Source organism: Homo sapiens, chromosome 12, assembly GCF_000001405.40.
Source record: "Homo sapiens chromosome 12, GRCh38.p14 Primary Assembly".
Taxonomy (NCBI): domain Eukaryota; kingdom Metazoa; phylum Chordata; class Mammalia; order Primates; family Hominidae; genus Homo; species Homo sapiens.
In genome coordinates this window covers 23,023,296-23,040,559 of record NC_000012.12, presented here as the reverse complement: position 1 = coordinate 23,040,559, position 17,264 = coordinate 23,023,296, and the positions used below count along the sequence as shown (strand labels likewise).

Here is a 17,264-nt window from a genome sequence, read left to right as displayed (position 1 = left end):
CCTCCACTACCAGATGGGCAGTGTGGATATGGAGTGCCCGCTCTACACCGAGTTCTAGCTCAAACTAGATTCTTGTTTGGAAATATGTTTTCCCCAAAGTTCTTTATGTCCTTTATGTGGTTTGTTTTCAAGAAGATAAAAATGTGCTTAAGTAAACCCAGAGCAGCCCAAATGGGATTCCTGGAGAACCAATCCCTGGATATTTTTGCCACCTTCCTCTGTGGCTTCCTATGAGGACCACTTTCAGGATTATGCACAGATGCTATAAGGATAGAAAACCTCTCCTCTGGTAGTTTATGTGAGTCTATTACTCTAAAAAGTAAGGACATATCCCATAAACCACTCACTGCCAAGGTACAGTCCCTCATCTCTTTGGTCCTTATCACCTCTGCCCTCTTAGGACTTGCCTGGCTGATAACAGACTTGTGTACATGTTTTGTGTCTCCTTGAGGGCACAAGGTTTCTGTCTTAGGCAGCTTTCTGTTCTCTGCAGTTTCTTCCAGTGGTACGTAATATACTTTAGTTGCTCATTACATTTGTTTAAAAGAAATATACAGAAAACTGAACACTAATAGAAAGAGTATGTGCTTCCTGTTTGAAATATGGGTCATCCATGGAAATAAAAACCTTAAGGAAAGAAAATTTCATTATCATTGGGGAATGCTTCTCACATGAAAAAGGAACCAGAGGGCAAGGGAGCACCCACGTTAAATTACAATGGGCAGGAAATGATGCTGTATCACTGGGCTAAGACCTAAGGTAAGGGGCATATTTAATCCTGAGGATAAATGTTTCTCAGCTTCCATCCAAATCTAGAATGTTACTATATTTCCCTTCCTTACTTGCTCTCCCTTTTTTAAGTCCTTCAGCCTGACCTGAAACTTAAATATACCGAATGAAAGCAAAGTCAGCAGCCGGATTGCCTGGGGCCATGAGCAAGCCAAAAGTACTCTCTCCTTTTCTCAACACCTGCTGCTGAAAGGAATTAATAAAAATGGCAGCCCTTCACCTAATGTCATAATCATAAGATCATAATATATCAGGCAATGGGTCTGTGTCATAGCAAATACATCAAGAGCCATAGCTACATAAAACCAAAATAAATTAGGGGCCACAACAAATGCAAAACAAATGTAAACAAGATATAACAGATGTTCATTAATATTACTGAAAGATAAATAAGAACTCTTGTACTATCCTGGCTGATACGGTTTGGCTGTGTGTCCCACCCAATTCTTATATCAAATTGTAATCCCCATGTGTCAGAGGAGGGACCTGGTGGGAGGTGATTGGATCCTAGGGGCGGATTTCCCCCCATGCTGTTTTGGTGATAGTGACTGAGTTCTCATGAGATCTGATGGTTTGAAAGCATGGCACTTCCCCCTCACTCTCTCTCTCCTGCCACCTTGTGAAGAAGGTGCTTGCTTCTCCTTCACCTGCTGCCATGATTGTAAGTTAAGTTTTCTGAGGCGTTTCCAGCCATGTGGAACTGTGAATCAATTAAAGTTATTTTCTTAATAAATTACCTAGTCTCAAGTAGTTCTTTACAGCAGAGTGAAACAAACTAATACACTGGCTTAAATTAAAAAACTGAAAGCCAGGCAATTTAATAATATAATCTGTACTTTAAAAACATCCATTAAACCACATTTACTTTGGGAGGCTGAGGTGGGTGGATCACGAGGTCAGGAGTTCAAGACCAGCCTGGCCAAGATGGTGAAACCCCGTCTCTACAAAAAATTAAAAAAATAATAATGATTAGCTGGGTGTGGTGGTGGGTGCCTGCAGTTCCAGCTACTGGGAGACTGAGGCAGAGAATTGCTTGAGCCCGGGAGACAGAGGTTGCAATGAGCCAAGATTGCACCACCGCACTCCAGCCTGGGTGACAGAGTGAGACTCCATCTCAAAAAAAAAAAAAAAAAAAAAAAAAAAAACCCACACATTTATTATTCATTAAAATTAAAATGGTGATAAAAGTGCTTGCAGGTATGGAGTTGGGGGCTCTTACTTGTCTATATTTTCTTTAACTTACCTCTTCTTGCTCTGAAATCTCTATTCCTGGTAATGATGGGGGAAATGGAAATAACAGCATCCTTAAATTTGACAACTAAAGGTATTTTAGTTTCTTGTGAGGGTCTCCTTTCCCTGCCTTTCTCTTCTATGTTCCCGCCTCTCCTGTTCACCTAGTAGAAAGGGTGTTTGAGTGAATGGATATTTCCATTGAGTTGAACCTGAGTTCTTCTTCCCTCTGTGATTTATTCTATGTTAGTTCTTAAACATTGGTTCTCAATATCTAAAGAGAAGTTCTTTTAGAGTTTAAAACATCCCTTTGTCTTGTTGGCAAAGTTGCCTTTTGAGACAATTGGGCCAAAACAAAATCAACTTAGGACATTGATCAAGCTCAATTACTATCCTTTTAGTCCTAGGTAGTATCCATTTTCTCTTGAAGCAGTAAATGGGCAACAAGGCAATGTATTTTATGAGAAATTTAAAAAAGATGTGGATTTTTTAATGGATAAATGGTAAGTGGGAGACTGGAAAACACAATGAAGATGGAAAAGAAGAAAAATAAAAAATGAAAGCTGAAAGAAATAGAAGAAAAAGATGAACACTGGAAAGGAAACAGACACCAAGGAAGGAGATAGAAAGAGAGGAGCAAACTTAGGAAGGAAGGAGGGAGAACAAAAGAAGGCCAGAAGATGGGTCCTAAAACACTGATGTGTTCCCACTCTTCAGAAAACTGCTCTCCTTGCACTGTTCACATTGAGGCTAGAGTGCTCTTTCCATTAAGCAAGTCATAGTGTGGCCCTTGCGCTGCAGGCCTGTAGTGGCTTCTGTGGCTCACAGGGTCCACTTGACTCTCCACAGAGTTCTGCAGAGCCATGCCATTACCGGTCTATGCACCACATACGGAAGCCACCTTGATGACACACATTCCCTCTCCACTTAATCCCTCACCCTACTGAACTGTTGTATGTTTTGTTACCAATTCCCGCTTCCCCTTTTTCTCCCTGAATAACTCTTAGTCATCCTTAAAGGCTCTGTTTAAATGGCTTCTGACTCTCTCTTCATTCGTTTATATGCCCTTATGACAACCTATGCATACTTCTTTTTTTTATTATTGATACATAATATTTATACATATTTATGGGGTACATGTGATATTCTGTTATATGCACTGACTGTGTCATAACCAAGTCAGGGTATTTGAGATGTCCAATGCCTTGAGTACTTATCATTTCTATATGCTGGGATTATTTCAAGTCCTCTTTTCCAGCTGTTTTGAAATATACAATGTATTTGTTGTTAACTACAGTTACCCAACTCTGCTATCAAATATTAGAACATATTCCTTCCATCTAGTTGTGTTTCTACCCATGAATCAGCCTCTCTTTATCTCCCCCACCCACCCACCCATCCTGGCCTCTCTTTATCCCCCTCAACCTCTCTATCCCCACCCACCCACCCTTCCTGGCCTCTATCATTCTACTTTCTAACTTCATGAGATCAGCTTTTTAAGCTTCCACATATGAGTGAGAACACGCAATATTTGTCTTTTTGAGCATGGCTTATTTCATTTCACATAATGACCTCCAGTTCTATTCATGTTGCTGCAAATGACATGATTTCATTCTTTTTGTGGTTAAATAATATTCCATGGATATTTCTTGTAGTTATAAATCTGCTTGTCTGTCAAACCCACACAACTAGGCTGGAGTCACTTTATTCTGTTTAGCTCCTCAGTGCCTCACTCAATGACTTATACACATACACTAGGTACTAAAAACTTGATATGTAATTTTTAAATAAGCTTATTTTAATTAGTTTTCTTTTCCCTTAAATATCCTTAAGAATTGGCCCTACTAGCCTGGGCAGCAAAGTGAGACCTCATCTCTACAAAAATAAATTTTTAAATTAGCATCATAGTGGTGCTCACCTATAGTCCCAGCTACTAAGGAAGCTGAGACAGGAGGATCACTTGAGCCCAGGACTTTGAGGGTACTGTAAGCTATAATTGCACCACTGCATGCCAGCTTTGGCAACATCAAGACCCCATCTTAACAACAACAACAACAACAACAAAAGCTGGCCCTACTGCACTATGATAGTAGTTAAAGACAGGAATAGGCCCAGTAGCAACTACCCTGCTACTGGGCCTAATCCTTTAATCCTTTTCTTTTTCTACCATCCTGATTACTGTCATTCATTGACTCTCGTCTTTTTGGCTCTGATCCCACATCTCATGCAGGTCCAGGCTGACACACAGTACTAGTCATTTTCTTGCATTGGACCTGAAATAGAGTTGTAGCATTCTATGCTTAGGCTTCACTCTTTAAATTACAGACATTTTGACATACAAATACTTTCTGCCTCATCTACAAAACTGTACCTTTCATTGCTACAACCATTTTTTAGTGTGCCTACGAATCATTTACATGCACTGTACACTTTCATCATCAAAACCTCTCTTTATGTAAAATGAGTCTCAACCAGAGGCGCCTGCACATTTCCGGGGAAAATGTTTCAAAATCTTAAGAAGAAAAGGTAAGGTACATATATTTTGCAAATGCCTCTGCTATGGGCTGAATGTTTGTGTCTCACCAAATTCATATGTTGAAAAACTCTAGTTCCTACTGTGGTGGCATTTGGTGAAGGGGCCTTTTGGAGGTAATTAGATAATGAGGGTACTCTCATGATGCCCATATAAGAAGAGACAAGACAGTTTGCTTCCTCTCTCTCTTTCTCTTCACATTATGAGAATACAACAAAAAGATGGCCAGGAGGAAGGCCTCCATCAAGAACCTAATCAGGCCAGTACCATGATCTTGGACTTCCAGCCTCTAGAACTGTGAGAAACAAATATTTGTTGTTTAAGCCACTCAGTCTATGATATTCTGTTATAGGAGCCCAAACTGACTATGTCAGTGCCTCTAAAAGTATAGACCCAGCAGGTTAGAACCACTGACCAATAGGATGACAACCAGAGTAATGCAGAATAAAGCCAGCCTTCAGTTCAAAGCTAGGTATAGGCTGGATGGAACCTGATGCTGATACTTATTTAAAAGTTGCTAGTACCCAGGAAAAGCGTACTGAGTTGAAAATAAAAACCCATTGCCTAAACTGGGACCCTTCAAAAGGTGCCACTTTTTTAGAAAACAGAACAACCAAAAGTCCTTAGATTTTGCTGGCTGTCATGTGATTGAAAAAGCAAGGGATATAGTATCAGGAGACACTAATTTCCATAGGGCAAATCAGTAGAAGTGCTAGCAGTTCAAGAGGTCCAACATCTCTGTGAATAAGACCACAGTCTAAAACTTCTATGTCTACAAATATACCATGCAGTTTCAACAACAAGGAGGAAAAAATATATCCCTGGCTATGAGTGAACAAAAATACAGTCTCTGCTCTCTATGTTCATTTTCTGTATCTTACCATCAAAAGTGCGCATATTCCCCAACTTCAAGTCACAGTAGCTATCTTCTTAATATAAAATAATGCCTTGCAAAAAGTTACTCTTCTACTTCTTTGGCTCACTACATGTGAGTCAAACTTACCTCAACACATCTAAGACAAATTTTAGAAAGGAAAGGAAAGGGAAGGGAAAGTGAAATGAAAAGGGAAGGGGAAAGGAAATGGAAAAAAGAAAAAGGAAAGGAAAGGAAAGGAAAGGAGAGGAAAGGAAGAAGGAGGGAGGGAGAGGGAGAGAGAGAGAGAAGAAAGAAAGAAAAAAGAAAGAAAGAAAGAAAGAAAGAAAGAAAGAAAGAAAGAAAGAAAGAAAGAGAAAGAAAGAAAAAGAAAGAAAGAAAGGAAAGAAAGAAAGAAGGAAGGAAGGAAAGAAAGAAAGAAAGAGAAAGAAAAGAAGAAGAACAAGAAGAAGAAGAAGGAGAAGAAGGAGAAGAAGAAGAGGAGGAAGAAAGGAAGGAAGGGAAAGAAAGAAAAAAGAAAAAAGAAAGAAAGAGAAAGAAAGGAAAAGAAGAAGAAGAGGAAGAAGGAATGAAGGAAGGAAGGGAAAGAAAGAAAGAACGAAAGAGAAAGAAAGAAAAAGGAGGGAGGGAAGGAGGGAAGGAAGGAAAAGAAAGGGAAGAAGAAAAAAGAGGGAGGAGAAAAGGAGGGAAAAAAGAAAAACAACTATTAGATAGTACTCAATAGTTTAACAGAGGAGGAGGAAGAGGAAGAGGAGAAAAGAGCATTTTGGAGTCCTAAATTTTATCAAAGATTTCCCCATCTCTTTTATATGAAGATTTTCAGAACAGAATAGTCATTCTCAGATAGTCTCCCTCTGCTAGTAGGTTCCCTATTCTGCCGTGAAGGAAGTCACCTGTCTTCTGATCTGGGAGTTATTCCAGATGAATCTGGAGTGATCTCCAGACTAGGATTGTCAGATAAACTACAGGGCATCCTGTTCAATATTAATTTCAAATGAACAGTGAATGTTTATTTAGTATAAGTATATACTATGTAATATTTGGGACATACTTATATTTTTAAAAATCTGTTGTTTATCTGAAAGTCAGATGTAACTGGGGATCTTGTGGGGATTTTACTAAATCTAGCATCCCTACTCCAGACAGTCTGTGGATTTTGGACAACTCAGCCAAATCACAGCTCAACACTTAGACAAAATTCATGCCAGCCCTAATATCTTTCAGATACATAAGACTATTCTCTATTTGGCCACTGATCCAGCTTGGGCTTTCCTGTGATAAATATTGCAAACTATTGCTCATCACGGAGAAAGCTTCATCCCAACCGGTCTTTAAAATTTGCGCACACCATTGGAGTCTACTTTTCATTATACATGGTTTGAGAGGAATGCTGGGACCACTTCTGTAGGAAAGATACAGAAGCTCATGATTCCTATTCCCAGGAGCTGAAACTACCTACACCAACAAAACAGCAAACTCAAAACTTTTCTAGGCAAGTCTTGTGCTTTTAAATAGCTACCCTGTGACTTCAAAATCCTGTGAATTCTGGGCTCCTCTTCAGAGATGGCACCTCAGGTCAAACAAAAGCCAATGAGAGAAAGAGAGAGAGAGAGGACTTGGGAGGAGGGACTGCACTTGCTCTCTGCTTCTTCTCCTTTGACAGGGAGTGTCATGAGCCAAGGACAGCTGCCTAACCATTATTACATTCCTTGGTCCCAAAGAAAGAGACTCCTGTCTCCCTCCTGGAGCTACAGGTGCCAAATGGAATGTTGAGCCAGAGAAGCACTAAAAGGAGGAGGACCAGAATCAAACAGCAGGACAAGGAAATCAGAAAACTGAGTGGGGACAAAAGCAGGGAATATGTTCAACAAGTAATCTGCGGTCTTAGGATGATTACACCCAGCAGGTGTCTCTCCCCAGTGTGTCTTTTGCATCCTCCAAACATGGCAGCGCAAGGAAGAAACAGTTAAGGATCCAAGGATGGAGCAAACAGGGGCCTGGATTATGCTTGATGTCACCTAAATGTTTGCCTCATCACAGGCTTATCCCAGCTTTAAAGATACAGGAAAGGAGCTCACTTCAGAAGCAGTCTTGTCAGGATTTTGTCATGGAATATCCTTGTGTATTTGAAAATGAGCTTAAACTTCCTCCTGGATTACTAATTTTCTAATCTTCTCCCCAAACTAAATCCTATTTCCTAAGCCTTATATATAAACATTTTTGTTATTCTCCCCTGAGCTGTTTAATTCCACCGTGGACAGAAGCCTTATCAGATACTGGGAAGCTGCTGTTGTGCAGAGAACACTGGGTTCACCAGCCCAGCCCTGATTCTAGCCAGGGTGTCGCGTCCAGGGTTCCCAGTGCACCAACTCTGCCCTGCCCCTTGCTTGCTGTATTATCTGATGTCAATCACTTAACTCCTTCCAGCTTCAGTTTCTCATCTAAAAGCAAGAATACCATCACCACCACTAATAATAACAAAATTCACATTACTAACCATAACCTGTCAATAATAACAGTAATAAAAGAACAACAGTCTTGCCTTCAAATAGCAGATAAGAAATTCTCGACCTGAAGGAAAATAATTTCTAGTAGATTAGATATAAAAGAAAATGACCAATGCCCACGGCTTTCTGTCCTAACAATATTGACCCAAGGTCCATTAAGGGAACCTTCGGGGAGTCCCAGCCTTGGGAGGATAGTTGAAGGAGGAGACTTGGACATGTGCAGTCCGTTACATTAAGGGCCCTTTAATAAGTTGCTTTATGAGCGATTGATGTTGGCCTTTGACTTTGAACTACTGCCAGACATTTCTTAGGTCCTCTTGTTAATATATTTAAAAAAAAAAAAAAAGAAAAAAGAAAAGCACCATTCTACTAACCTACATTTTATTAAATTTTGTGCTTTAAAAACTTTTTAAAATTATATTTTTGTCAATATTTTTCTCTTGTATAGCTTCTGCCTTTTCCTCTACTGTTTTCTTTGCTTAATGGTTAGAAGGTGTTTTTCATTAAAAAAATACAATTTTCATTCATACTTTAACAACTTAATTGTACTTATCATTACCCATTTTATTGATCATATAATTCTTTTGACTTTGTTATGTATTCCAGTTTTTTATTTAAACTGAAGTCCTTCAAGTTTTAGTTATTAGCTATTTTCATGTCTTTTATATTGTATCTCCCTTATTTTTAATCTCCAGAGTTCTTCCCTAAGATTTGACTATATTCTTCTTTCGGAATTTTTTTTTTTTTTTTTTTGAGAGGGAGTCCCACTCTGTTGCCCAGGCTGGAGTGCAGTGGTGCATTCTCAGCTCACTGCAACCTCTGACTCCTTGGTTCAAGAGATTATCTTGCCTCAGCCTCCCGAGCAGCTGGGATTACAGGTGCCCACCACCATGCCCAGCTAATGTTTTTGTATTTTTAGTAGAGACGGAGTTTTACTATGTTGTCCAGGCTGGTCTCAAACTCCTGATCTCAGGTGATCCACCCACCTTGGCCTCCCAAAGTGCTGGGATTACAGGCGTGAGCCACCGCGCCTGGCCCTCCTTTTGGATTTTTAAAATTCACCCCCCGCCCAAAAAAAAAAAAAAAAAAAAAAAAACCCACGAGAAGGACATGTCGCTGAGATAAAGTGGACACCTGTGAAGCTAATTTAAATCCCAGATTCAAGAGACTGAATTTCTCTTTTTTTCTAGTTAAACCAACAGTGATACTTTTAAGCTCCCCATTATCGTTTCTTCCAGAGTTCAACTTCGGACTTTAAAACCTTCAGGCTAAGTAAACTAGTAGATCCGCAGACTAAAGTCTCCCGGATGACAAATCTTCCCTTAGTGGCAACGCAGCTGACCTGCTGGCACGGTATTGTCTTCTCATATTATGCTTTTAAGGGAATCCTTGGGTAAATCTCTGCCTGGGGACTAAATCTCCAAGCTCCTGACAGGCAATGATTTTTCCCTCCTTAGGAAACACAGACTGTAGCCATTTTTCCAACTGCAGTCACTGTATCCATCCCCGTAAAATACCTGCACTGAGAGAAAATAAATAACATGTGAAAATCACCAGCTTAAATATAAATTTCTCTAATCTGCTGAAAAAGGACTTGGCCCTTTTGTTTGAGGTCAAACGAGACTTTGCCTGAAAGTAGGACTTAAAGGAGACATTTTATTTTTAAAAGACCAATTGGCTGGAGCGGGGAGGATTGAGATCAAGTCACGCTCTTTGCTCACTGAATGGTGGCCCCATATTTCCCTTCAGGGGCTCGGCTGTAGACATGGCACCACTCTATCCTCATTCACCCTTAGTTATGGCTGAGCCATGCCAGGGAGACAGGGAGGTTCCCATCATCAGACAACAGGGCTTGAGCACACTGATGGAGTAACAAATATTACATCTTAGCAATGCACACAACCAAGAAGAAGAGGACATAAACCCTTTTACTATCTTTTTCACTTTGGATCTGAAAATACATTTTTCTATATATGATTTAAAGATCCTAAACACTACCTAGCCCAGAGAAGGAAATTTCCCTAATTTTTAAAAATCCTAAATTCTTTTTAATTTCTTTATAAGGTTATATATGACCTAATCACCATAAGTTCTACAATACAAGCCCAAGCACACCAACTAAATAAAGGCTGCAGAGAATGGAATCTCCTATCAAAACAGGAACACTCGATATTATAACTTAGTTTTAATCTTAAATCAACCAAAACACCCTGAACCTTCCAATAATACCTATTAAAAGAAGCTACATTAGCAAGTCTTTAGTTCAGCTAAAAGATCATTTTGTATCACCCTGCTTTCCTCATAACTAGTTTTTTTAAAATGATCAATTCCTTTCAGGATGTAGATTTCCCCGCAACCCCCTTTCTTTATCATAAGAGATAAGAAAATTGTGTCAAAGCCAGAGATTATACTCAAGAAGACTTTTAGAACTGAGAAAAATACAAATAAAGTAATCAGAACCCTAAGTTGGTAATCCAGGCACGCTTAGAATTATAGGCACCAGAAGAATGGAGCACTTTGATCATGTATCTTTAGAAGTCTCAACTTGCTATAGAAAGAATTATCTAACTCACTGGTAAACAGGCTCTTCTTCCCTGTAACCATTTCACTCATATATTCTTGGGGATTGAATTGCGTCCCCAAAAAAGATAAGTCCCACCTCCCGGTATTTCTGAATGTGAGCTTATTTGGAAATAGGGCTTCTGCAGATGTAATCAAGTTAAAATGAAGTCACTAGGGTGGACCCTAATCCAAAATGACAGGTGTTCTTACAGGAAGAGAAGAAACAGAGACAGACTCACAGGGAGAGCACATGGGATGACAGAGACAGAGATAGGAGTGCAGAAGCAGCAAGCCAAGGAAGTTCTGGATTGACATTGATGCCCCCACCAGATGCCAGGGAGAGGCAAGGAGGGACTTTACCCAGATCTCAGTGAGTGCAAGGCCCTGCTGACAGCTTGGTTTTGGACTTCTGGCCTCCAGAACTGTGAAACAGTACATTCCTGTTGTTTTCAGTCACATAGTTGGTGGCACTTTGTTATAGCAGCCCTAGAAAATGAATATACCTGCCTAAGAGAAAATAACTTTGAAGGCAGATTTAAATTCTTCATAAGTGAATTGATTATACATGGATTAAGGCTTTACAAATATTATACTATCACCAACTAAAACTCTCATTCATTCTGACCTGAGGTCCACCACGGACAGCTCACCTTTCTGCTCCGACACCTGAATGCTTGCAGTCTGACAGTCACAATGCTCAACAGTTGACACGTATTGTTCCACCTAATCCTTACAGTAGCACTCTAAGATATGCATTATTTTCCCTGTTTTGCAGGTTTAAAAAAAAATGAGGGTTGGAGAGGTTAAACAAGTAACTTGCCCCAGGTCATAAAGCCAGTAAGTAGAGAACTGTGATTTAAATCAGGTCTGTTTGATATTCATTTCCAGACTCTTAGCCATAATGCTTATTGATTTTACTTCACACTTTGTCCAACAATCTTTAACCTCTTCAAATCTTCTTTTCTGTTCATGATATAGAAGATCACTTTAAACTAAAGATGAGGAGGAAACAATAATCATCTGATGGGGCATTTCTTCAAACTTTGTGATCCCCTTTAAAAAATACTAGCACAGAACTTCGGATATTCTCTATGTTTCTGTCTGTCTGTCTCTCTCCCTCTCTCACATCCTGTATGACCCCATCATCCCATCCCTTTCTCAGACTAAATACCACCCACCTGTCTTCCAAGTGTTATCTTAAATGTTATTTATTTGGTGATATTTCCTTGATGTCACATTCTAGCAGGGGACAATAATATTGCAACCTCACAGCATCCTATATTTCTCTTCTGTGGCAGATATCATGATTAAAATGACATAATTATTTTGATAGCAGGATTGACCTGCTAACAGGTCTAAGGACTGTTGGCATGACTCGCATGGAAGCCTGTGTAGCTGACTATTGTAGTACCATTGCTCTAAGATTGGAAAATATGTAGGCTTAGGCTGCCTCAGCTTGGGGAAGCTGTGAATGATCAATAAGGAATGTGCTCATGCCCTAGCGTGCTCTCAGTGCTGTCCTCTGCCATCACATCATACATTTATAAAAAGGAAATGGCTCTATTGAAGGGTCCTAATCACATCCAGATCACATCGTGTGTAGAGCTGCTCTTGTCTTAGGTATGGAAGCCTTTTCTTGGCGGGAGGTAACTTGTACTAGAAGATCTGATGTGACCCTCCCTCTCACTCAGTCTTTTGAGGAACATGCAAGTTTCTGTCTCTGTGATTGGAGGTTGTTGACATTCTTTCCCTCTGCTCTAAGTCTGCCTATGCTGATTTCCTCCTGAATTCTGCAGAGAAGTAAATCTTCTTTAATTCCCCCAGGTGATCTTAGCTGTGTAAAATAAATTACTGCATTTCCCAAGACTTAGTAAAGCATGAGATATTTCTTTCAATAATTAAAATTGCTCTTTTAGAGTGAAGGAGAATGAAGAGTTAAATATGAACATTAATCTTCTAACTTTTTTCAGGAACTCTGAAAAACTTTAACTGTAACAAAAATGGATGACAGAAAACAAATTCCTTCCCTAAGCATTTGGCCTATATGTATAAAGTAGTGCTGACGGAGGAAAATGTGGCTGATCCTGTTAATCCCACTAAATGACACAGAAAATATCTCATTTCACTTCATTTTCAGTTAGTTATATATCTTCGTTTATATGTCTCTTCTGACAAGGAGCACAGACATTGTTTAGGTGTCACTTCTTAAATTCACAGCTTTTTTCTTTTCCTCTAAATATTCCATGCATCCAACATTTGGCATAAGGTTTTGTTCTTGTTTTTGTTTTTAACCCAGAGATCTAAATGCTAGAATTGGCAATGATACTGCCAAAGATCCATTTTACAAATTTCAGGCTGGTGGCCCACAGGCTGCATCCAGTCTGCAGCTGTATGTAATTTAAGCTGTTACTATTTTTTTATAAAAATGTTTTAATTTGTCAGGTTTTGCTGAAATATTACTGCATAATAACCCCACATCTCCATTACTTAGAAACATCTATTTCTTATTCACAGGTTTGCTTATTGGCTGGGGCTCTGCTGGGCTCAACAGGAATGCACTGGCATCTGCTGGGATTGACTGAACTTGGATCCAAGCTGCGGGTCAGGTTCCAGTCTGCTGTGTCTCCTCCATCTGGGGCTGCAGAAAAAGCCTCTCTCAAGGTAAATGCAGGAGCATAAGAAACATGGAAAATAAAAGGCACTTCTTAAAGCCACAGGTCATTTTTTTTCCTCACATTTCACTGGGCAATCCAAATTACATGGCCAAATCCAAAACCAATGAGGCAAGCAATGTCTACTCTATTCGTTCTACTGGGAAGGCCTAAAGAGTTACATGGCAAAAGGGTGTCAATGTAGAAATCTACTACAGGAGGAATAAAGCATTGAGAACAATGACCCAAACTGACACAGTTGCTAACATTTAAAAATTGGGAAAGTTTCCACGAAAATCAGAAATTCCAGCTTTTCTTATAAATTTAGAAAATTTAGTAATATGAGCCCAGAGCTCAAAATATAATCTATATGTATTAGTCAGGGTTTCCCAGAGAAACAGAACCAACAGGATATATATATAGAGATTTCTCTCCCTCTCTCTCTCTCTCTCACACACACACACACACACACACACACACACACACACACACACACACACGTGAGAAAGGAAGCAAATTCACCCTTCCTCCACATTTTTGTTCTATTCAGGCCCTCAATGGATTGAATAAGGCCCAACCACATTGGTGAGGATGATCTCCTTTACTCAGCCTATTGATTCAAATGCCAATCTCTTCCAGAAATACCCTAACAGACACATCCAGAAATAATATTTTACCAGCTATCTGGGCATCCCTTAGCCCGGTCTTGTTGGTGCATAAAATTAACCAACCCAAATTCACCACTTATCAACTTAGCATCCATACATATCTCTTTGAACCATGGTTAAATTTCCAAATAAAGAAAATAATATGGTCGTAATTTCACCTAATATGATAGAACTGTTCTGCATACAGCTGAAACACACTAACCCTTTTCCCAGAAGAGGAGGTAAGGTCCTTGAATAATGTTTACTGGCATCCCATAACTTACATACTATTAGGTAAAATTAACAATACTTAAATACTGATATAAAGTCAATACATCTTATGTTACATAATAAGGAAATAAAAATATTTGCTTAATATATGTATATATATATATAAACAAATATTTTCAGAAGAAAATAGGAAGGAAATACTTATGACATTTGCAGTCTCATTTTGGTATCTGGTCATGTAGTCATAGCTGATATTTGTAACTACTTTTTTCTTCTATTAATTCTGTATTCTCTCTGCCTTCAGCAAGCACTTCAGCTGGTCACACTATCCTATTTTCAAAAAAAGACCTATAGAAATAGGACCCCCAAAAGAAGACAAAGCAGCTTGATTCTTTGAATCAAAATCTATGAATCAATAATCATCTGCACTAGCAGTCACTCATAGTCTAATGGAAGCCCACTGTGTCCCTGTGTCTGTGTTCAAATCCCAGCTCACCACTTACTACTTGTATAACCTTGGGCAAGTCACTTAATCTCTCTGAACTTCCATTTCTTCATCTCATAGAGTTTTAGTGAAGACTAATTGAGATAATATACATAAAAGCTGTTCCATGAATTGAAACATACCACACAGATGTTGCTTGTCATTATTAGCAGGGCTCACCTAGTGAAACTCAAATTACTATTTAAGGAAATGACCAATTTGCATAGCCACCTGGATTTTTACTGTCAACGACTTTGACTGGGATTCAAATGCTTTAACAGCAGGGTTATTTCATTCACTGAAGATCCAGCTGGTGAAGCAGTTTGGGATATGCACTAAAAGATGCTTGGAAATACCTGCTGGTCTTTCAGCTATTGTGCTATAAAACCAGGTAGGAGAATCCTTTTATCATTTCCACAGCTGAATATGCTTTAAACCCCCTAACAGAGCCAAAATTGTCAGACCAAATTCCACTTGTGATGAAATCCAACCAGGTTAACATGTCCTTTCCTTGTTAACCACCTAGGCTTTTCTGGATGAAATCCTGCAGCCCTAAAACAGGCAAAACTTGACTTAACTTCAAGGAAAGTTTTGGATTTCAATGGACTTTTGAAGTCCCTTCAAAAGAGTTAAGGACTTCAATGACAGGTTTGCCTATACAGAGGACCACAGAGGCAGGCCATTTGTAGAAATTCAGTTCATCTAGGAGCAGAAGTTGTCTGGTGAAAATTGGTTCAGTAAGGAGGGGCTAAGTGAGGCATGTAAGTTCAAACTCAGTAGAATGAAAATGAGTCAATTTCAGATGATCGAACTTTGTTGCTTTGTATTTTTCCTCTTGAGTTTATAAAAGCAAGTCTTTTATATTTACTGTCCTGAAGGCCAATCCATTTGATGATTGTAGTAAATTAGAACCAACATATACTATACGAAATTTAGGAAATGCCTAGCACATAATACATTATCTATATATATTTATTCAATTATTTAATTAACAAGCAAGTATTTTAAAGATTGCCACAAAGGCTATGAATTCGGACTTTTATTCGTGAATAAAGAACTTCAATTTATATTAAGTGCATTCTTCGACACCAGGTAAGCTAAACTGGCAATTTTTCAAACAGATTTTATTACATAATATTTTGCAAATCAAGCTAATAATAATTGCATTTTGGGAATCTTTATCCCAAAACATTTCTCGCAGGGCACATTGTACTGTAGCTAAATCATTTTTACTGTTAAATTTATTGTTTTCTAAGCTGCAAGAAGTGTCAAATGGTGCCACAGGAAGTTAAGTATAGCAAATGTATTTAACCGGAGCTTACTGCAGAAGAGATTCCATCAAGTAACAGTAATAGATTTATAGATAGATAGATAGATAGATAGATAGATAGAATTGACACTCCATAATGAGAATTTTCTTATTGGAAAATGTGATTCCTGAATATGTATTGGGATTTCCTAGAGTCCTTTCAACTTGGAAGAGAGGAACTCTATCAGGTATGAACAAAAGAATATTCTCCTTAGCTAAGAAAGGTCTTACTATACCAATCCATCTCTGCTAGAGATTATTAAACTGTTTTCAGCTGGAAGTTGTTAAATAAGATTTAGCAATGGTTAAAATGCGAATTCTAAAACACACTTTTTTTTCCAGAAAAAAAAGAATATTGTATTCTTTGCTGAATTCTAATACTTCTTTTGAATCTAAGGGTTTTATTTAGTCCACAGATTAAGATCTTAGTGTAAATATAATAAAAATACTTTAAAGGTTAGGTATCAACAAGGTGTCAGTGTGCATAAGGATGAAGTATTCCAGTCATAATTAAATTTCAAATCTAATTATAATTTGAGGCATCCTTTTAATTACATTGCAATATTTTCTTTTCCTAGGAAGACGAGTGGTATAGCATCTTTTATCTGTAATTTTCATTTAATTAAAAATGTAAATAAATCAAACCCCCTTCTTAAAAATATTTACTTTGCACATAAAAAAGAGGATTTATAAAGTTGGGTTTTGTCTACTTAATCATATTTACTTCGAGCCATAAACATATGATGTATGAATATATAGGCACAAAGGTCTAAATTGTCCTTAATATTATGAAGCAGGAAAAAAAAAAAAAGGTTGCTAGTAATTATCTTTCTTGCCAGTGAGAATTCTTATGCCACTTCTGGCAAAATCCTACTAATCCTTCAAAGCCAAGTTCAAATGTCACCTCCTTTGTGTGAAGCCTTCCCTAACTCCCAGAGCCAAATTCAGAGATAGGCTACTGAGCCACAGCCAGCGACTTAAATCCGTAAGGGTCACTAAAACATCCCTGGAATTTTATAAACCTCTGAAGAAAAGAGCCTTCATCAGAGTTCCCTCAGAAAGAGGACTGCACATAGTTAGAAAGTTCTAGTGGAGCCACTTGGGGAGCTAAACTACCCCACCCTGTGCCCCCAATCAGCAGATATGAGTATCAGGAATCACTAACCTGCCTCCTAAGGACCCAGCTCCTTGGCAGGCTTTGGTTTTCTCCCGTGGGACAGACAAGCTTACAACCAAATGGGATTCTTGGACAGTAGATGAGAAACTGAGAACAAGCTTGAGTATTTCTCTCTTGTCCTACCCCCCAACCCCAGTAATCTGCTCTCTAAATTAATGTCAAATAAACACTTGCAAACCCCACCTCGTCCCATTTTCTTACACTACTTCTGATGACATCAGACCCTAGACTAGGAAAAAAGAAATGTGAAAACGTGGAAGGATAAGACAC

The 17,264-nt window shown here is 38.7% G+C and overlaps 1 long non-coding RNA gene across 13 annotated transcripts in view, besides 1 other annotated feature; it reads right to left on the bottom strand.

Moving 5' to 3' along the window:
* The window catches only part of LINC02955 (long intergenic non-protein coding RNA 2955), a 491,729-nt gene that overhangs the window by 151,028 nt on the left and 323,437 nt on the right, over positions 1-17,264 (bottom strand). The gene's annotated exons all lie outside the window — the stretch shown is intronic.
* Positions 14,416-15,165: an enhancer, noted in NCBI's record as "OCT4-NANOG hESC enhancer chr12:23178329-23179078 (GRCh37/hg19 assembly coordinates)". NCBI's record gives its function as "activates a minimal SCP1, AML or CMV promoter by ChIP-STARR-seq in naive H9 embryonic stem cells {active_cell/tissue: H9 hESC(naive)}" and the evidence as "EXISTENCE:reporter gene assay evidence [ECO:0000049][PMID:30033119]".